The sequence below is a fragment of the Homo sapiens genome, chromosome 2 (genome assembly GCF_000001405.40).
Source record: "Homo sapiens chromosome 2, GRCh38.p14 Primary Assembly".
NCBI lineage: Eukaryota > Metazoa > Chordata > Mammalia > Primates > Hominidae > Homo > Homo sapiens.
In genome coordinates this window covers 230,558,172-230,574,142 of record NC_000002.12, presented here as the reverse complement: position 1 = coordinate 230,574,142, position 15,971 = coordinate 230,558,172, and the positions used below count along the sequence as shown (strand labels likewise).

The 15,971-nt window shown below is 39.9% G+C and overlaps 1 pseudogene, besides 1 other annotated feature; it reads left to right on the top strand.

Annotated features, from left to right (window-relative positions):
* On the top strand, nt 187–2,248 carry TPM3P8 (tropomyosin 3 pseudogene 8; annotated as a pseudogene).
* Nucleotides 8,539–8,598: an enhancer, noted in NCBI's record as "active region_17226". NCBI's record gives its function as "activates an Ori minimal core promoter by ATAC-STARR-seq in GM12878 lymphoblastoid cells {active_cell/tissue: GM12878}" and the evidence as "EXISTENCE:reporter gene assay evidence [ECO:0000049][PMID:35858748]".

Below are 15,971 nucleotides of genomic sequence, written 5' to 3'. Positions count from 1 at the left end.
CATCTGGTGGAATAAATTTCTAAGGAGCAAAGCATTCAATATGTGACCTGGCTGCTTCTAACAGCATACTGCCATAGGTGTGAGCAAAAAGATGATCTGAAATGGGAACTTATATTTAAAAGGGAAGCAGAGCATAAAAGTTTGGAAATTTTGCAGCCTGACCATGTGGTAGAAAAGAAAAACCCGGGAGGAGGCAGGAACCAGAGCACGAGCAGTAGCTGGGTGGGCACTGTGGCTGAGATCACCACCATCGAGGCAGTGAAGTGCAAGATCCAGGTTCTGCAGCAGCAGGCAGATGATGCAGAGGAGCGAGCTGAGCACCTCCAGCGAGAAGTTGAGGGAGAAAGGCAGGCCCGGGAAGAGGCTGAGGCTGAGGTGGCCTCCTTGAACCGTAGGATCCAGCTGGTTGAAGAAGAGCTGGACCATGCTCAGGAGTACCTGGCCACTGCCTTGCAAAAGCTGGAAGAAGCGGAAAAAGCTGCTGATGAGAGTGAGAGAGGTATGAAGGTTGTTGAAAATCGGGCCTTAAAAGATGAAGAAAAGATGGAACTCCAGGAAATCTAACTCCAAGAAGCTAAGCACATTGCAGAAGAGGCAGATAGGAAGTATGAAGAGGTGGCTCATAAGTTGGTGATCATTGAAGGAGACTTGGAAGGCACGGAGGAACGAGCTGAGCTGGGAGAGTCCCGTTGCCAAGAGATGGATGAGCAGATTAGACTGATGGACCAGAACCTGAAGTGTCTGAGTGCTGCTGAAGAAATGTACTCTCAAAAAGAAGACAAATATGAGGAAGAGATCAAGATTCTTACTGATAAACTCAAGGAGGCAGAGACCAGTGCTGAGTTTGCTGAGAGATCGGTAGCCAAGCTGGAAAAGACAATTGATGACTTGGAAGATAAACTGAAACGCACCAAAGAGGAGCACCTCTGTACACAAAGGATGCTGGACCAGACTCTGATTGACCTGAATGAGATGTAGAACGCCCCAGTCCCACCCTGCTGCTGCTCCTCCCTCTGACCCAGACTCCGCCTGAGGCCAGCCTCCTGGAAGCTGACCTTAAACTGAGGGCTGATCTTTAACTGGAAGGCTGCTTTCTCCTTTTGCCGCCCCCTCCTTCCCTGTGTCTTTTTCACCAAACTGTCTCTGCCTCTTCTCAGAGAATCCAGCTGGGCTAGAGGCTGAGCACCTTTGGAAACAACATTTAAGGGAATGTGAGCACAATGCATAATGTCTTTAAAAAGCATGTTGTGATGTACACATTTTGTTATTACCTTTTTTGTTGTTTTGTAGCAACCATTTGTAAAACATTCCAAATAATTCCACAGCCCTGAAGCAGCAATCGAATCCCTTTCTCACTTTTGGAAGGTGACTTTTCACCTTAATGCATATTCCCCTCTCCATAGAGGAGAGGAAAAGGTATAGGCCTGCCTTACTGAGAGCCAAACAGAGCCCAGGAGACTCCACTATGGGAAACCTCATTGCTCTGTACAAAGTACTAGCTAAACCAGAAAGGTGATTCCAGGAGGAGCTAGCCAAACAACAACAAAAACAAGAAATGTTCTGTTCAAGTTTTCAGCTTTAAGATATCTTTGGATAATGTTATTTCTATTTTTTATTTTTTTCATTAGAAGTGACCAAATTAAGATGGTAAGACCTCTGAGACCAAAATTTTGTCCCATCTCTACCCCCTCCCACCTGCTTACAGAATGGATCATGTCCCCCTTATGTTGAGGTGACCACTTAATTGCTTTCCTGCCTCCTTGAAAGAAACAAAGATCGTGTTTTTGCCACTGATTTAGCCATGTGAAACTCATCTCATTACCCTTTTCTGGGTTTGAAGCTGCTGTCTCTAGAAGTGCCATCTCATTGTGCTTTGTATCAGTCAGTGCTGGAGAAATCTTGAATAGCTTATGTACAAAACTTTTTAAATTTTATATTATTTTGAAACTTTGCTTCTTTGGGTTTGTGGCACCCTGGCCACCCCATGTGGCTCTAACAGCCTCTGCAGTCCGTGGGCTGGCAGTTTGTTGATCTTTTAAAGTTTCTTTCCCTACCTAGTCCCCATTTTCTGGTAAGGTTTCTAGGAGGTCTGTTAGGTGTACATCCTGCAGCTTATTGGCTTAAAATGTACTCTCCTTTTATGTGGTCTCTTTGGGGCCGATTGGGAGAAAGAGAAATCAATAGTGCAACTGTTTTGATACTGAATATTGACAAGTGTCTTTTTGAAATAAAGAACCAGTCCCTCCAAAAAAAAAAAAAAAGAAAAAGAAAAGAAAAACCCATTTTCTGCAGAGGATTTCAAGTTGGCTGCAGAAATTTGCATAAGTAAAGAGGAGCCAAATGTTGATAGCTGAGATAATAGGGAAAATGCCTCGAAGGCATTTCAGAGACCTTTGCGGTAGTCCCTCCCATCACAGGCCTGGAGGCCTAAGAGGGAAGAATGGTTCTGTGGGCCAAGTCCAGGGCCCCACTGTACTTTGCAGCCTTGGGACATGGCACCTTGCATTGCCACTGCTCCAACTCCAGCTGTGGCTAAAAGGGGCCAAGGTACTGTTCAGGGCATTGCTTCAGAGGGTACAAGCCCCAAGCCTTGGCAGCTTCCATGTGATATTAAGCCTGTGGGTACACAGAGTGCAAAAGCTGAGTCTTGGGTGCCTCTGCCCAGATCTCAGAGGATGTATGGGAAATCTGGATGTCCAGGCAGAAGGTCTGCTTTAGGGGGCAGAGCCCTTATGGAGAACCTCTACTAGGGCAGTGCAGAGGGGAATATGGGGTTGGAGCCCCCACACAGAGTTCCCACTGGGGCACTGCCTAGTGCAGCTGTGAGAGGAAGGCCACCAACCTCCAGACCCCAGAATAGTAGATCCACTGACAGCTTGCATCGTGCACATGGAGAAACCACAGGCACCCAATATCAGCCTATGAAAGCAGCTGAGGGTGTTGTACTCTGCAAAGCCACAAGGGTGGAGATGTCCAAGGCCTTGGGAGCCCACCCCTTGTATCAGTGTGGCCTGAATGTGAGACATACAGTCAAAGGAGATTATAGGTTTGAGACTGAATGACTGCCCTGTTGGGTTTCAGACTTGCATGGGATCATAGTCTCTTTGTTTTTGCCAACTTCTCCCATTTGGAATGGGAGCATTTACCCAATGCCTGTACCCCCATTGTATCTTGAAAATAACTAACTTGTTTTTGATTTTACAGGTTCATAGGCTGAAGGATCTTACCTTGTCTCATGAGAATTTGGACTATGGACTTTTGTGTTAATGCTGAAATGAGTTTAAACTGGGGGACTGTTGACTATTGAGAAGGGATAATTGTATTTTGCAATGTGAGAAGGACATGAGATTTGGGAGGGGCCAGGGAGGAATTATATGGTTTGGATTTGTGTTCCTGCCCAAATCTCATGTTGAATTGTAATCCCCAGCGTTGGAGGAGATGCCTGGAGGAAGGTGATTGGATCATGGGGGAGGACAACCCCCTTGTTGTTCTCATCATAATGAGTGAGTTCTCATGAGATTTGTTTTTTTAAAAGTGTGTAGCACTTCCCCCTTCACTCTTTCTCTCCTGCTTTACCATGGTAAAATGTATTTGCTTCCCCTTTGCCGTCTTCCATGATTGTAAGTTTCCTGAGGCTTCTTGGCTATGCCTTCTTTATAGCCTGTGGAACTATAAGTCAATTAGACCGCTTTTCTTCATAAATTACCCAGTCTCAGGTAGTCCTTTATAGCAATGCGAGAACAGACTAATACACAGGTGATCAGGCCTACTGTGGTATACTTTAAAAAATACATAGTTGATCTTTGTCCCCAGTTCCTGGCACGAAGTCCCTAAAACTCTTGGAAATTCCAGAACGATGGGTGTCTTAAAAGTACCAACCACATGATTGGAAGATTAGAATTTTCAACCCTAAACCTTGATGTCTAGGGAGAAGAGAAGGGCAGAAGATCGAGGTCGATTGCCAGTGGCAAGGGATTTAATCAATCATGCCTACATAATGAAACCTTGATAAAAACCCCTGAACAACAGGGTTCAGGGAGCTTCTGAATTGGTGAATACATTTATGTGTTGGAGGTGGGGTTGAGGCTCACCTGGAGAGGGCATGAAAGCTCTGTCCCTCCTTCCACACCTTGTGCTATATTTGGTTCTTCCTGAGGTTTTATTTTTTTCCATGCAACAAAACTTTGACTAACATTTTGATTAGGTTCAACTGTTTACTGAAACTGGTAATTTCCAAACTTAAGTTGGGGCGCAAATGGCTATAGTGCAGAGTAATGCCATCACTGGGCACTGCGAATGCGAGAGTGAAGAATAAACGTGGTTCACTTGAAGTCAGGAGTTCGAGACCAGCCTATCCAACATCATGAAACCCCATCTCTACCAAAAAAAAAAAAAAAAAAAAAAAAAAACCAGCTGTGGTGGTACACGCCCATAATCCCAGCTACTCAGGAGGCTGGGGATGCCTTCTGTATCTGGGATCTTGGCCTTCACATTTTTCATTTTTCATGGTGTCCCTGGCTCCACCTCCAGGTTGATGGTCTTGCCGATCAAGGTCCTCATGAACATTTTCATTTTGACCTGTGAGCGGATATGAGGATGCTATGAATTGCCAGTCACATCCAGCCACCAGAACACCTCCACACACTCACTCAACAAAGCCAGTCATCCCTCAGTTGTGTTCTTTATAAGAACACAACTTTATAATCAGAAGTAGAATACTTTCTGAGTTCTGTGAGTCATTCTAAGGAATTACCCAACCTGAGGGAAGTCCTGTGAACCCCTAAAGTTGTAGCCTTCTCCACAGAAATGTGGGTGGCCTGGTCACCCCATTCATGATTGTTATCTACAGTATGGCAGTCTTGTGGGACTGACATCTTAGCCTGTGGGGTCAATGCCAACTCTGGGTAGTGTCAGAGTTGGCATTGACCCCAACTTTCAGAGATTAGGGTAGGCTATGTTATATTAAATAGACCCTGAACATTTGTAATTGGTAAAATAAATAAACTGAATTGTTGGATACTCAGTTGGTTTCAGAGAAGTTAAAGAACTGATTGGTTTTGGAAGAATGTGTTTGTTGTTGGAAAAGACACCACACATTTGGTGTCAGAAAAAAACACATACCTGTTCATATTGAGGTCCTTCCTTTATGTATAGATTTCCACCCCAAACAACCCTCATCATCTAAAGATCACAAAAAAGTAATTTTTGGGCCAGGTGCTGTGGCTCACGCCTGTAATCCCAGCACTTTGGGAGGCCGAGGTGGGCAGATCACAAGGTCAGGATATGGAGACCATCCTCGCTAACATGGTGAAACCCCGTCTCTACTAAAAATACAAAAAAATTAGCCGGGCATGGTAGCCGGTGCCTGTAGTCCCAGCTACTCGGGAGGCTGAGGCAGGAGAATGGCGTGAACCTGGGAGGCAGAGCTTGCAGTGAGCCGAGATCACGCCACTGCGCTCCAGCCTGGGTGACAGAGCGAGACTCCATCTCAAAAAAAAAAAAAAAAAAGTAATTTTTGATTGCTTGATACATAATAATGTCATCAAAAATTTGAAGACCTAAAAGATCCAAACAATAGTCTTTCTGACAGGTGGTGTTCAGCATACCATTGGCTTATCTACAAACTTTTTTCAAAACAATTTTGGAAATAACATCTTTTTGTATCTTTACAACATTCATAATGGGTAGGCAGGATAACTGTCATTATCCTTGTTTTATAGATGCAGAAACATAAGCACATAAATGTTTAAAGATCTTTTACAAAGTTACATGGAGAATTGAGGGCAGAGGTAGCACCAAAAATATATATGCCCGAGTCTCAGTTCAGCGGGTGTCTGTTTTCTTCAGAAAGAAGGGAGGGAAATAGTAATCAAACATGTTTGCAGTGTTAATTGTTTCAGGATTTATAACTTTATTTTAAATTTACTATTATCTTTTATTTTTTTTTAGATGGAGTTTCACTCTTGTTGCCCAGGCTGGAGTGCAGTGGTGCAATCTTGACTCCCTGCAACCTCTGCCTCCAGGGTTCAAGTGATTCTCCTGTCTCAGCCTCCCGAGCAGCTGGGATTACAGGTACCTGCCACCACACCTGGCTAATTTTTGTATTTTTAGTAGAGATGGGGTTTCACCACGTTGGCCAGGCTGGTTTTGAACTCCTCACCTCAGGTGATCCACCCACATCAGCCTCCCAAAGTGCAGGGATTACAGATATGAGCCACCGTGCCCAGCTGATTTATAACTTTATTAACCAGCAACTGTTTCTCTTCCATGGATTTTATGAACAAAATTAATTTGGAAATACATACTAGGTATGATGTCAAATAAGGTAAGTCAATGTAAAAATGTACATATTTTTCTTACAAAAGACTCATTTTAATTGTTTGCTACATTTTTGATAAGTAAAAAAAGCATTTTTTAAATGGGAGTTTCCACCATGTTTTTTTGTTTTTGTTTTTGTTTTGAGACAGGGTCTTCTCTGTCACCCAGGCTGGAGTGCTGTAGTGTGAACATGGCTCAATGCAGCCTTGACCTTCTGGGCTCAAGTGATCCTCCCATCTCAGCCTCCTAAATAGCTGGGACCGAAGGTGCACAACACCATACCCAGCTAATTTTTCAAATTTTTGTAGATATGGGGTCTTGCTATTCTGCCCAGGCTGGTCTGAAACTTCGGGGCTCAAGCTATCCTCCCACCTTAGCCTCCCAAAGTGTTGGGATTATAGGCCTGAGCCACTGCCCCTGGACTTTACCATCTATTTTAACAGGTGTAGAATGTCTTAAATACTAGAAGTTAAGTGTTTAACCTTTACCATCTATTTTTAACAGGTGTAGAATGTCTTAAACACTAGAAGTCTATTCGTTACATATGAAAACCATTCAAATAGGTTCTATTCTGGGTTAAGGGAGGTTGAGTTGGAATGGGGGCAAGGAGGGAGGAGGAGAGATCCCCGTACCCATTCAGGGATCCATCTTCAAACATTTCCCCAGGCAAGAAACAGAGGCAGAAGAAATGTGTGTGATTTTTGACAGCAAGTTTCCTTAACAAGTAAGAAAGCAGTGTTCATTCAAAAAAGAGGATTCTGGGTAAACATATTTGATACAAAAATAAAAAGGGGGATTGTTATGACTTTTTTTTTTTTTTTTTTTTTTTTTTGCTGTGCAGCGTTTTTTTTTCTGAAACCCCCATAGTGGGGGGTTGTGACTTTATATAGCTGAAGAAAATTCTTTTTTTCTTTTCTTTTTTTTTTTTTTTGAGATGGATTCTCGCTCTGTAGCCCAGGCTGGAGTGCAGTGGTGCCATCTCGGCTCACTGCAACCTCTGCCTCCTGGGTCCTTGTCCAAGCAATTCTCCTGCCTAAGCCTCCTGAGTACCTGGGATTACAGGCATGTGCCAGCATGCCCAGCTAATTTTTGTATTTTTAGTAGAGACGGGGTTTCACCATGTTGGCCAGGCTGGTCTTGAACTCCTGACCTCGTGATCTGCCTGCCTCAGCCTCCCAAAGTGCTGGGATTACAGGCATGAGCCACAGCACCTGGCTTATCTGCAGCAAGTTCTTAGGAGAAATATTGTTTCCTGTTAACTTTGCAACTGACTTTGTATCTATTAATCCAGTCTCATAAATAACAGCGCAGATTTTTACTTTATATTTTCTCATTTTACTTTTTATTTGTCATTGAACACGTGGTGGTTTATCAAAAGGTTTTGCAAAAAACTCTGATTTTAACTTTACAACAATCATGAAATGTAAGCAGAATGAATTACTGATTGCCCTGTTTTATACATGACAAAACGAAAGCCCACAGATGCTTAAGGTGACTTTTCCCTTGTCTTTTTACAATGCCAAATAGGGAATTAAAGGAAGAGCTGGAATTACCACCTTTGATTGCTAGAATTCATTTTTATAGCTGTCATTTTCCTTAGAAAGGTAGAGATACACAGAGAGAAATGATCATCCCGTGATTTTGTTTCTGTTTTCCTCTCATTGCTTTATAGTTAACTGGTTGCTGGGGAGAAATCTCTGAAAATACATGTTAGGAAAAGAAGTATGTCCAAATCAGAATTCTTGGTACACAAATGAACATAAAAAAATTTCTATGAAACATTAAATCTGATTGTGAAATCATTCACAAGTAAAACAAAAAGTTCTGAAGAGTCCAGATTAATCTTTTTTGTTAGTTAGGGTACGCTATGTTATATTAAATAGACCCTGAACTTTTGTAATTGCTAAACTAAATAGAAATTAATTCTTGCTTTGTGGACAATCTACAGTGTTCCAGGTCATGAGTGGAGTTGTGGGGGCTTTGGGAGAGAGGCTAGGGGACTGTGACCCCCATAGTCATTCAGACACCTAGGATGCTGGAGGCTCTGCCATTTTTAACATTTTAACAGTTATCTTCCAAGATGATCCATGGTAAGAAAAAGAATAAGAGTCAGAAGAGATGTGTAGACAAGCAGGAAGGGTAAGTAGCAGAATGGTAGTGAGGTGTAGGAACATGGCAAGCAGGTTGACAAAGCAGAACTGCCTGTGGTAGGTAAAATTTTCTCTGTCTCTGGCAACAGTGCTGCTGCCACATTAACCTCTGCTGGTGAGATGCGTCTGAGAGTCACACCAGGGCGGTGTCAGGTGGGCCTGGTCCTACTCCTGAGTTCCTGGAGCTCCCCGGGTGCCCCTAGTCTTGTTACGTGATTTCCTTTTCTGTTGGCTCACTGGGCACCACTAAAACCTCCAAGGGGTTTTATTTCTGTTTGGAGTTCAGTAGGGCTTACTCTGCAAGTGACTAATAGAGTAATAGGAAACCTCTAGCTCAGCACCAAGAAGTGGTCCAGGCAAGGAAGATGCCAAATGGCCACAAACAGGGCTTGAAATTAGAACTACTGTTTCCCGATTAAGTTTACTCTGATTGCAATTCATATTATCTGGGTATCTTAGTTTTTTTTTTTTTTTTTTTTTTCCCCTGCTGCTATAAAAGAATACCCGAGACTAGGTAATTTGTAACGAAAAGAAATTTATTTCTTAATTCTGGAGGCCAGGAAGTCCAATATCAAGGTGCTGGCATCTGGTGAGGGTCTTCTTGCTATGTCATTCTGTGGTGGAAGGCGGAAGGGGAAGAGAATGTGAAAGAGAAAGGGGAAGTGAGCAGAAACTGTGCTATTATCAGGAACTCATTCTCAAGATAACTAACCTACTCCCAGGATAACGGAATTAATCCATTCATTAAAAACAGAGCCTCGTGACCTAATTACTTCTTAAAGGTCCCAGTTCTCAACACTGTTGCATTGGGATTAAGTTTCCAACACGTGAACTTTGGTGGACACAGTCAAACCATAGCACTAGGTGTTTGGGGAAAATAATGATAAACAATAAACAACTTTAAACTCATGTTAACAGAATGATTTCTATTGTCATTTAGTCACAACCTTGAAAAGGTCTCAAAAGACAGCTGAAATTACTATCTAGAATTTACAGAAAGAAATGTTTTAGATGAATCACTTTCAGACAGATACAATGGTTTTGATACATGTCATTATATAATAATTTTAATAATAATTTTTAAATTTGTTTTGCCTTGTAAAAAACACATTTTTTATTGAAGTATAACATACTAAAAAGCGTACAAACCATAAGCCTACAGAATAATTGTCACACAATGAACATACCCATGCTACCACTACAGAAATCAAGATAGAAACCGATCACCCCAGAAACCACTCTGTGACCCCTCCCAACCACCAGACTCCTCCTCCTTTCCAAAGACAAAAACACGATCCTGATTCCCAACAATAGAAGCCTGCCACGATGTGGATGAATCTCACAAATGTTAAGTTCAAGTGAAAGAAGTCAGACATAGAAGATTACTTTTTATAAATTCCACTTATATATTAAAATGTACCACAGTGTTTTTACCCATTCTACTGTTGATAGACCTTTGGATTAATTTCAGTACTGAGGTATTATGAATAGTATTATTATGAATATTTGCAAACATGCCTGCATTCCTGTTGACTATGTATGCCTGAGTGAAATTGCTGAATTATAGAGTATATGCATGTCCAACTTTAAAAGATTATGCCAGTTTTCCAGTGTGATTGCACCAACTGACACTACCACTATCAGTTTATAGAAGTTCCAATTTTTTCATATCCTTGCCAACATTTGGTATTGGCAATTTTTTTTTTAGCCAATTTAGGTGTGTAGTGATATTTCACTGTGATTTGAATTTGCATTTCCCTAACTGCTAATGAGAGAGCACTTTCATGTGTTTAGACTGACCTTTGGAATATCTACTTTTGTGAAGTTCCTATTCAAGTATCTTTACTTCTGGGATTCACTGCATTTCTTATATTGAAGTATAAGGGTCCTTTAGATACTCTGAATATGAGCCCTTGTTTGGATAAATAGGTTTCAAAAATCTTTGTCTACTCTTCGGTTTGCATTTTCATGATCTTAATGGTATCTTTGAGTGAAGGAAATTTTTTAATTTTAGTGTAGTCCAGTATATAAATTATTTCCTTTAGGGTTAAGTGCTTTTTGCATTCTGTTTAAGAAATCTGGCCAGGTGCAATGGCTCACAGCTACAATCCCAGCACTTTGGGAGGCCGAGGCGGGCAGATCACCCAAGGTCAAGAATTCAAGACCAGTCTGGCCAATGTGACAAAACCCCGTCCCTACTCAAAATACAAAAATTAGCCAGGTGTGGAGGTGCACACCTGTAATCCCAGCTACTTGGCAGGCTGAGGCATGAGAATTGCTTGAACCTGGGAGGCAGAGGCTGCAGTGAGCTGAGATCGTGCCACTGCACTCCAGCCTGGGCAACAGAGGAGACTCCATCTCAAAAAAAAAAAAAAAATCTTTCCCTACCCACCCAGAGTTTATGAAGATATTATTTTAGGTTATCTTCTCAAAATGCTATTGTTTTATCTTTTTACATTTTTATCTAAAATCCACCAGTAATTGCTTGGTGTGGATTAGAGGGCCTGGATTTCTTTTTCTTCAAGATTTATTAGATGTAGGTATCCAAGTAACTGAGTATTGTCTTTGCCACACAGTTTTGCCATGTCACCTTTGTAGTAAATCAACCGCCCAAATAGGCATGAGTCTTTTCTTTCAACTGGCTTATTTTTCTATCTTTGAGACAATACCATTTAATTAGAGTAGCTTTATTTAAATCTTGATATCTTGTAGTGAAGTCCTTTAGTTGTGTTCACCTTTTTCAAATTGTCTGGGTTATTTCCAGTTCTTTGTGTTCCAATATTACATGTTAGAATCAACTGGTCAATTTCCACAAAAATGCTGTTGATGTTTAAAATGGAAACAACATGGGTTGTTTCTGTAGATCATTTTGAGGAGAATGGACAATATTCATCTTCCAATCCCTGAACATAATATATCCTTCCATTTACTCAGGTATTCTTTAATGTTTCTTAACAATGTTCTAGAATTTTCTGTATAGATTTTTACATATCATTTATTAGATTTGTTTTCCTATATTCTTTTCAGTAGTATGGTAAATGTATATTTCAACACTTCGTGTAGTAACTGTTTTTGGTTTGTAAAATGCATTTCATTTTTGTAACTTGACACAGATCTAGAAAACCTGCCAAACTACTTATTAATTTTAGTGATTTACTGATAGGTTCTTTTGGATTTTCAGTGTATTCAATTTCACCATCTGTGAAAAATAAGTTTCATATCTTTGTTTTCGATTCTTTAACATATATTTCTTTTCTTTGAGTTTCTGCACCAGCAAAGACCTCCAGTACGATGCTGAATAAAAGGGGTAATAGGAGCACTTGGTCTTGGTCTCAACTTGCTTGAGCACTTTGTCTTGGTCTCAAGCAATCATCAGAAAGCTTTCAACTTTCCATCATTGAGTGTGAAGTATGCTGTAGGTATATATATATATATTTTTTGGAGGGGGATGGAGTCTCGCTCTGTCACCCAGGCTGGAGTGCAGTGGTGTGGTCTCAGTTCACTGCAAGCTCCATCTCCTGAGTTCAAGTGATTCTCCTGCCTCAGCCTCCTGAGTGGCTAGGATTACAGGTGCCACCACGCCCGGCTAATTTTTCTATTTTTAGTAGAGAAGGGGTTTCACCATGTTAGGCTGGTCTCAAACTCCTGATCTCGTGATCTGCCTGCCTCTGCTTCCCAAAGTGCTGGGATTACAGGCATGAGCTACCGTGCCTGGCTATGCTGTAAGTATTTTATGGATGCCCTCTACTAAATTAGGGAAGTGTCCTTCAATTCCTAGTTTGCTAAGTTTTTCTTAATCATGAATGGATATTGATTTTTTTTTTTTCCAGACAGAGTCTCACTCTGTCACCCAGGCTGGAGTGCAGTGACACCATCATGGCTCACTGCAACCTCTGCCTCCCAGGCTCAGGTGATCCTCCCGCCTCAGCCTCCTGAGTTGCAGGAACCACAGGTGTGCACCACCAAACTCAGCTAATTTTTTCTTTGTATTTTTTGTAGAGATGGGGTTTCATCATGTTGCCCAGGCTGGTCTCAAACTCCTAGACTCAAGTGATCCACCTGCCTCTGCCTCCCAAAATGCTGGGAGTATAGGTGTGAGTCACCGTGCCCATCTTGATTTTTATTGAATGTTTTTCTGGACCTATGAACATGATCAAATTGCTTTTTTCCTGTAATCTGTTAATGCATTTTATTACATTTATTTATTTATTTTTGAGACAAGGTCTTGCTCTGTTGCTCAGGCTGGAGTGCAGTGGCATGATCTCGGCTGATTGCAACCTCCACCTCCTGGGCTCAGGTGATCCTCCTACCTCAACCTCCTGAGTAGCTGGGACTACAGGTGCATGCCACCATACCTGGCTAATTTTTGTATTTTTAGTAGAGATGGAGTTTCACCATGTTGGCCAGGCTGGTCTGGAACTTCTGACCTCAAGTGATTGGCCTGCCTTAGCCTCCCAAAGTGCTGGGATTACAGACGTAAGCCACTGCACCTGGCCCACTGATTGATTTTTGAATGTTCAACCAATCTTGCATTTCTGAAATAAACCTAGCTTGGTCATAAGAATTATACTTTTTAATATAACTGGCTTTATTTTTTATGTTGGGGAGTTTTACAACTGTATTCATGAAAGAGATTCTTGTTTGAAATCATTAGGTTCTTGTTTTGCCCCCTCAGAGTTTGGAATTATGGTTATACTGGTCTCACAAAATAATCAGTAGTTATTTCTTCTGTTTCTATTCTATGGAAGTGGTTGATAAAATTTGGTGTATTATCTTCCTTAAATGCTTGGTAAATACATCACTTAAGCCATCTGGCCTGAAAATTTTATTGAAGAGAGGTTTTAAATTATACATTCAATTTTTTAATAGTTACAGAACAATTACAGAAAAAGTAGAAAAAATTTATATTTTTTGCATTTGCCTATATTGTAAATTGTGTTTTTAATTTAAACTTTCCAATTGTTTGGCATAAAGCTGATCATAGTATCCTGAGATATTTTAATGTCTTTAGAATATGTATTGACATATTCTTTTTCCCCCTAATATTTGTTCTTGTGACCCTTGTCTTAAAAAAAGTCTAGTCTTATTAGGAGCTTGTTAATTTTATAGCTGTTTCAAAGAGATAACTTTAGACTTTAACTGCTGATCCCCTTTCTTGAATGCTTGTTTTCTATATCAGTTTCTTTCTTAACTTTTTTCATATCTCTACCTTTGGATGCTTAGATCATTGATTTTTAGCTTTTCTTTTTTTTTTTTCTCAGACCTTGCAGGGATGGATCTTCTTTTCTAAGAAATGCATTTAAGGCTATAATTTTTTCCTTCTTAAGTTTTGCTTTTGGTGAATCTCATAAGTTTTGATATGTCATATTTTTATTATCATTCAGGAATTGTTTTCTGAATTCAATTATAATTTTTTCTTTGATCTATGAGGTGTTTATTGGTTTATTTCTTAATTTCCATTTACATGGGGAATTTTCTTCTTGTTATTGATTTTTAGTTTTGTTTCTTATTGTCAGAGGATGTACTTGGCACAATTTTAGTTTTTTGAAATTTGAGATTTACTATATGTCCCAACATTTATCATTTTTATGTGTTCCATGTGTACTTAAAAAGAATGCACATTTGAAGTTGTTGGGTATGTTGTTTTATCTATGTCAATTAAGTCAAGTTTGTTAATCACATGGTTCAGATTTTCTACATCCTTACTGATTTTTTGCTTGTGCCATCAGCGACTGAGGTGAGTTACAAGCTTCTACTTTGGTAGTGGATTTGTCTATTTCTCCTTTTAATCTTGTCAATCTTTGCTTTATATATTTTGTGGCTTTTCTGTTAGGTACCAATAAATGTAGAATTATCTTTTGTGTGTGTTGAATTTCTTATCATTGTGTAACGTCCCTCTTTATCCCTAATGGTGTTTTTTGCTTAAAAGTCTACACCAGTGTAGAAAAAATTTTTTTTTCTTTACTCTCTTAGGTTTAATGCCTGGGACCTATAAATTAAACTGACAAAAGACAGATTAACAGGAGAAAAAGCACAGAAATTTTATTTAATATTAGTATTTTTACATGGCAAAGGAAACATCATAGCAAGAAATAAAAACCCCAAATAAATGAATTGACTGGAGGCTTATATACTATTTTAACACAGAGCAATAACTTGTGGAGATGTAACAATACAAAGGAAAAAAGGATTTGGGCTAAGAGTGGTAAATTATGGGAAAGTGACTAAGAAATATATGGAGAAAACTAATGGGAGATAAGGGTTATTTTAGTGAGGTTTGTTTGTACAGATTCATCATGGCTTCAACTCCTTGACTCTGGTGATAAGAATGTTCTATTCCTGGTACAGGGATGGCACTTTTCTTAGGCATAAAGGTGTAAGAAAGAGACCCCTTTCTGCATCTGCTGTTTCTCAATTGCCTTCAGCTCAAAATAATCAACATGGCAAAGTGGCATATTATGGGGTGATATGTTCTGATACCATTCACCGGCTTTATATTTTTTTGAGACGACTTAGTGTTTGCATATCTTATTCCATCTTTTTATTTTTAACTTATATATCTTCGTATATTCAATCATGTCTCTTGCAAGCAGCCTATAGGTTTTCTTTAATCCAGTATGACAATGTTTGCCTTTTTTTTGTCTGTTTTTGAGACGGAGTCTTGCTCTGTCACCCAGGCTGGAGTGCAGTGGCATGATCTCGGCTCACTGCAACCTCCACCTCCTGGGTTCAAGCAATTCTCATGCCTTGACCTCCCGAGTAGTTGGGACTACAGGCACACGCCACCATGCCTACCTAATTTTTTTGTATTTTTAGTAGAGATGGGGGTCTCACCATATTGGCCGGGCTGGTCTCGAACTCCTGACCTCATGATCCACCTGCCTCAGCCTCCCAAAGTGCTGGGATTACAGGCATGAGCCACTGTGCCTGGGCTATGTTTGGCTTTTAATTGGAGAAATTGTTTCATTTACTTTCCATGTAACTACTGATATATTTAGGTTTAAATCTACCATCTTCCTGCTTGTTTTCTATTTGTCTTACCTGTTTTATGTTCCTTTTCTTCTTCTTACTTCTTTATTGGATTACATTAAAATTACATTATTATAGTCATTTTTGGTTTATCAATGCCTAGTAAACATTAATACTCTTACCATTTTCTAGACAACATAAGGACTTTACACATTCCTATTTTAGATTTCTCCTGCCATTTTATAAATCTTATAGATATTAGAAGTAAATATACTTTGGGAAAAGCCACTTGGAAAACAGAAAAGCCAATAAAACTCTTAATATTCATATAAACATATTTTTCTTTACAAAAGAATTATTCTAATTGTTTGCTGCATATGTTACAAATAGAAAATAATTCCTTTTGATTTTGGAAGATTCATGTAATAGTAGTAGTTAGCTTGCTTTGTAGTAGTTAAATTAGGCTATCTGCTCTAACAAATAGACCCCAATATATATAACATCCTCAAACAAAATTTAAGTTTATTTCTTTTA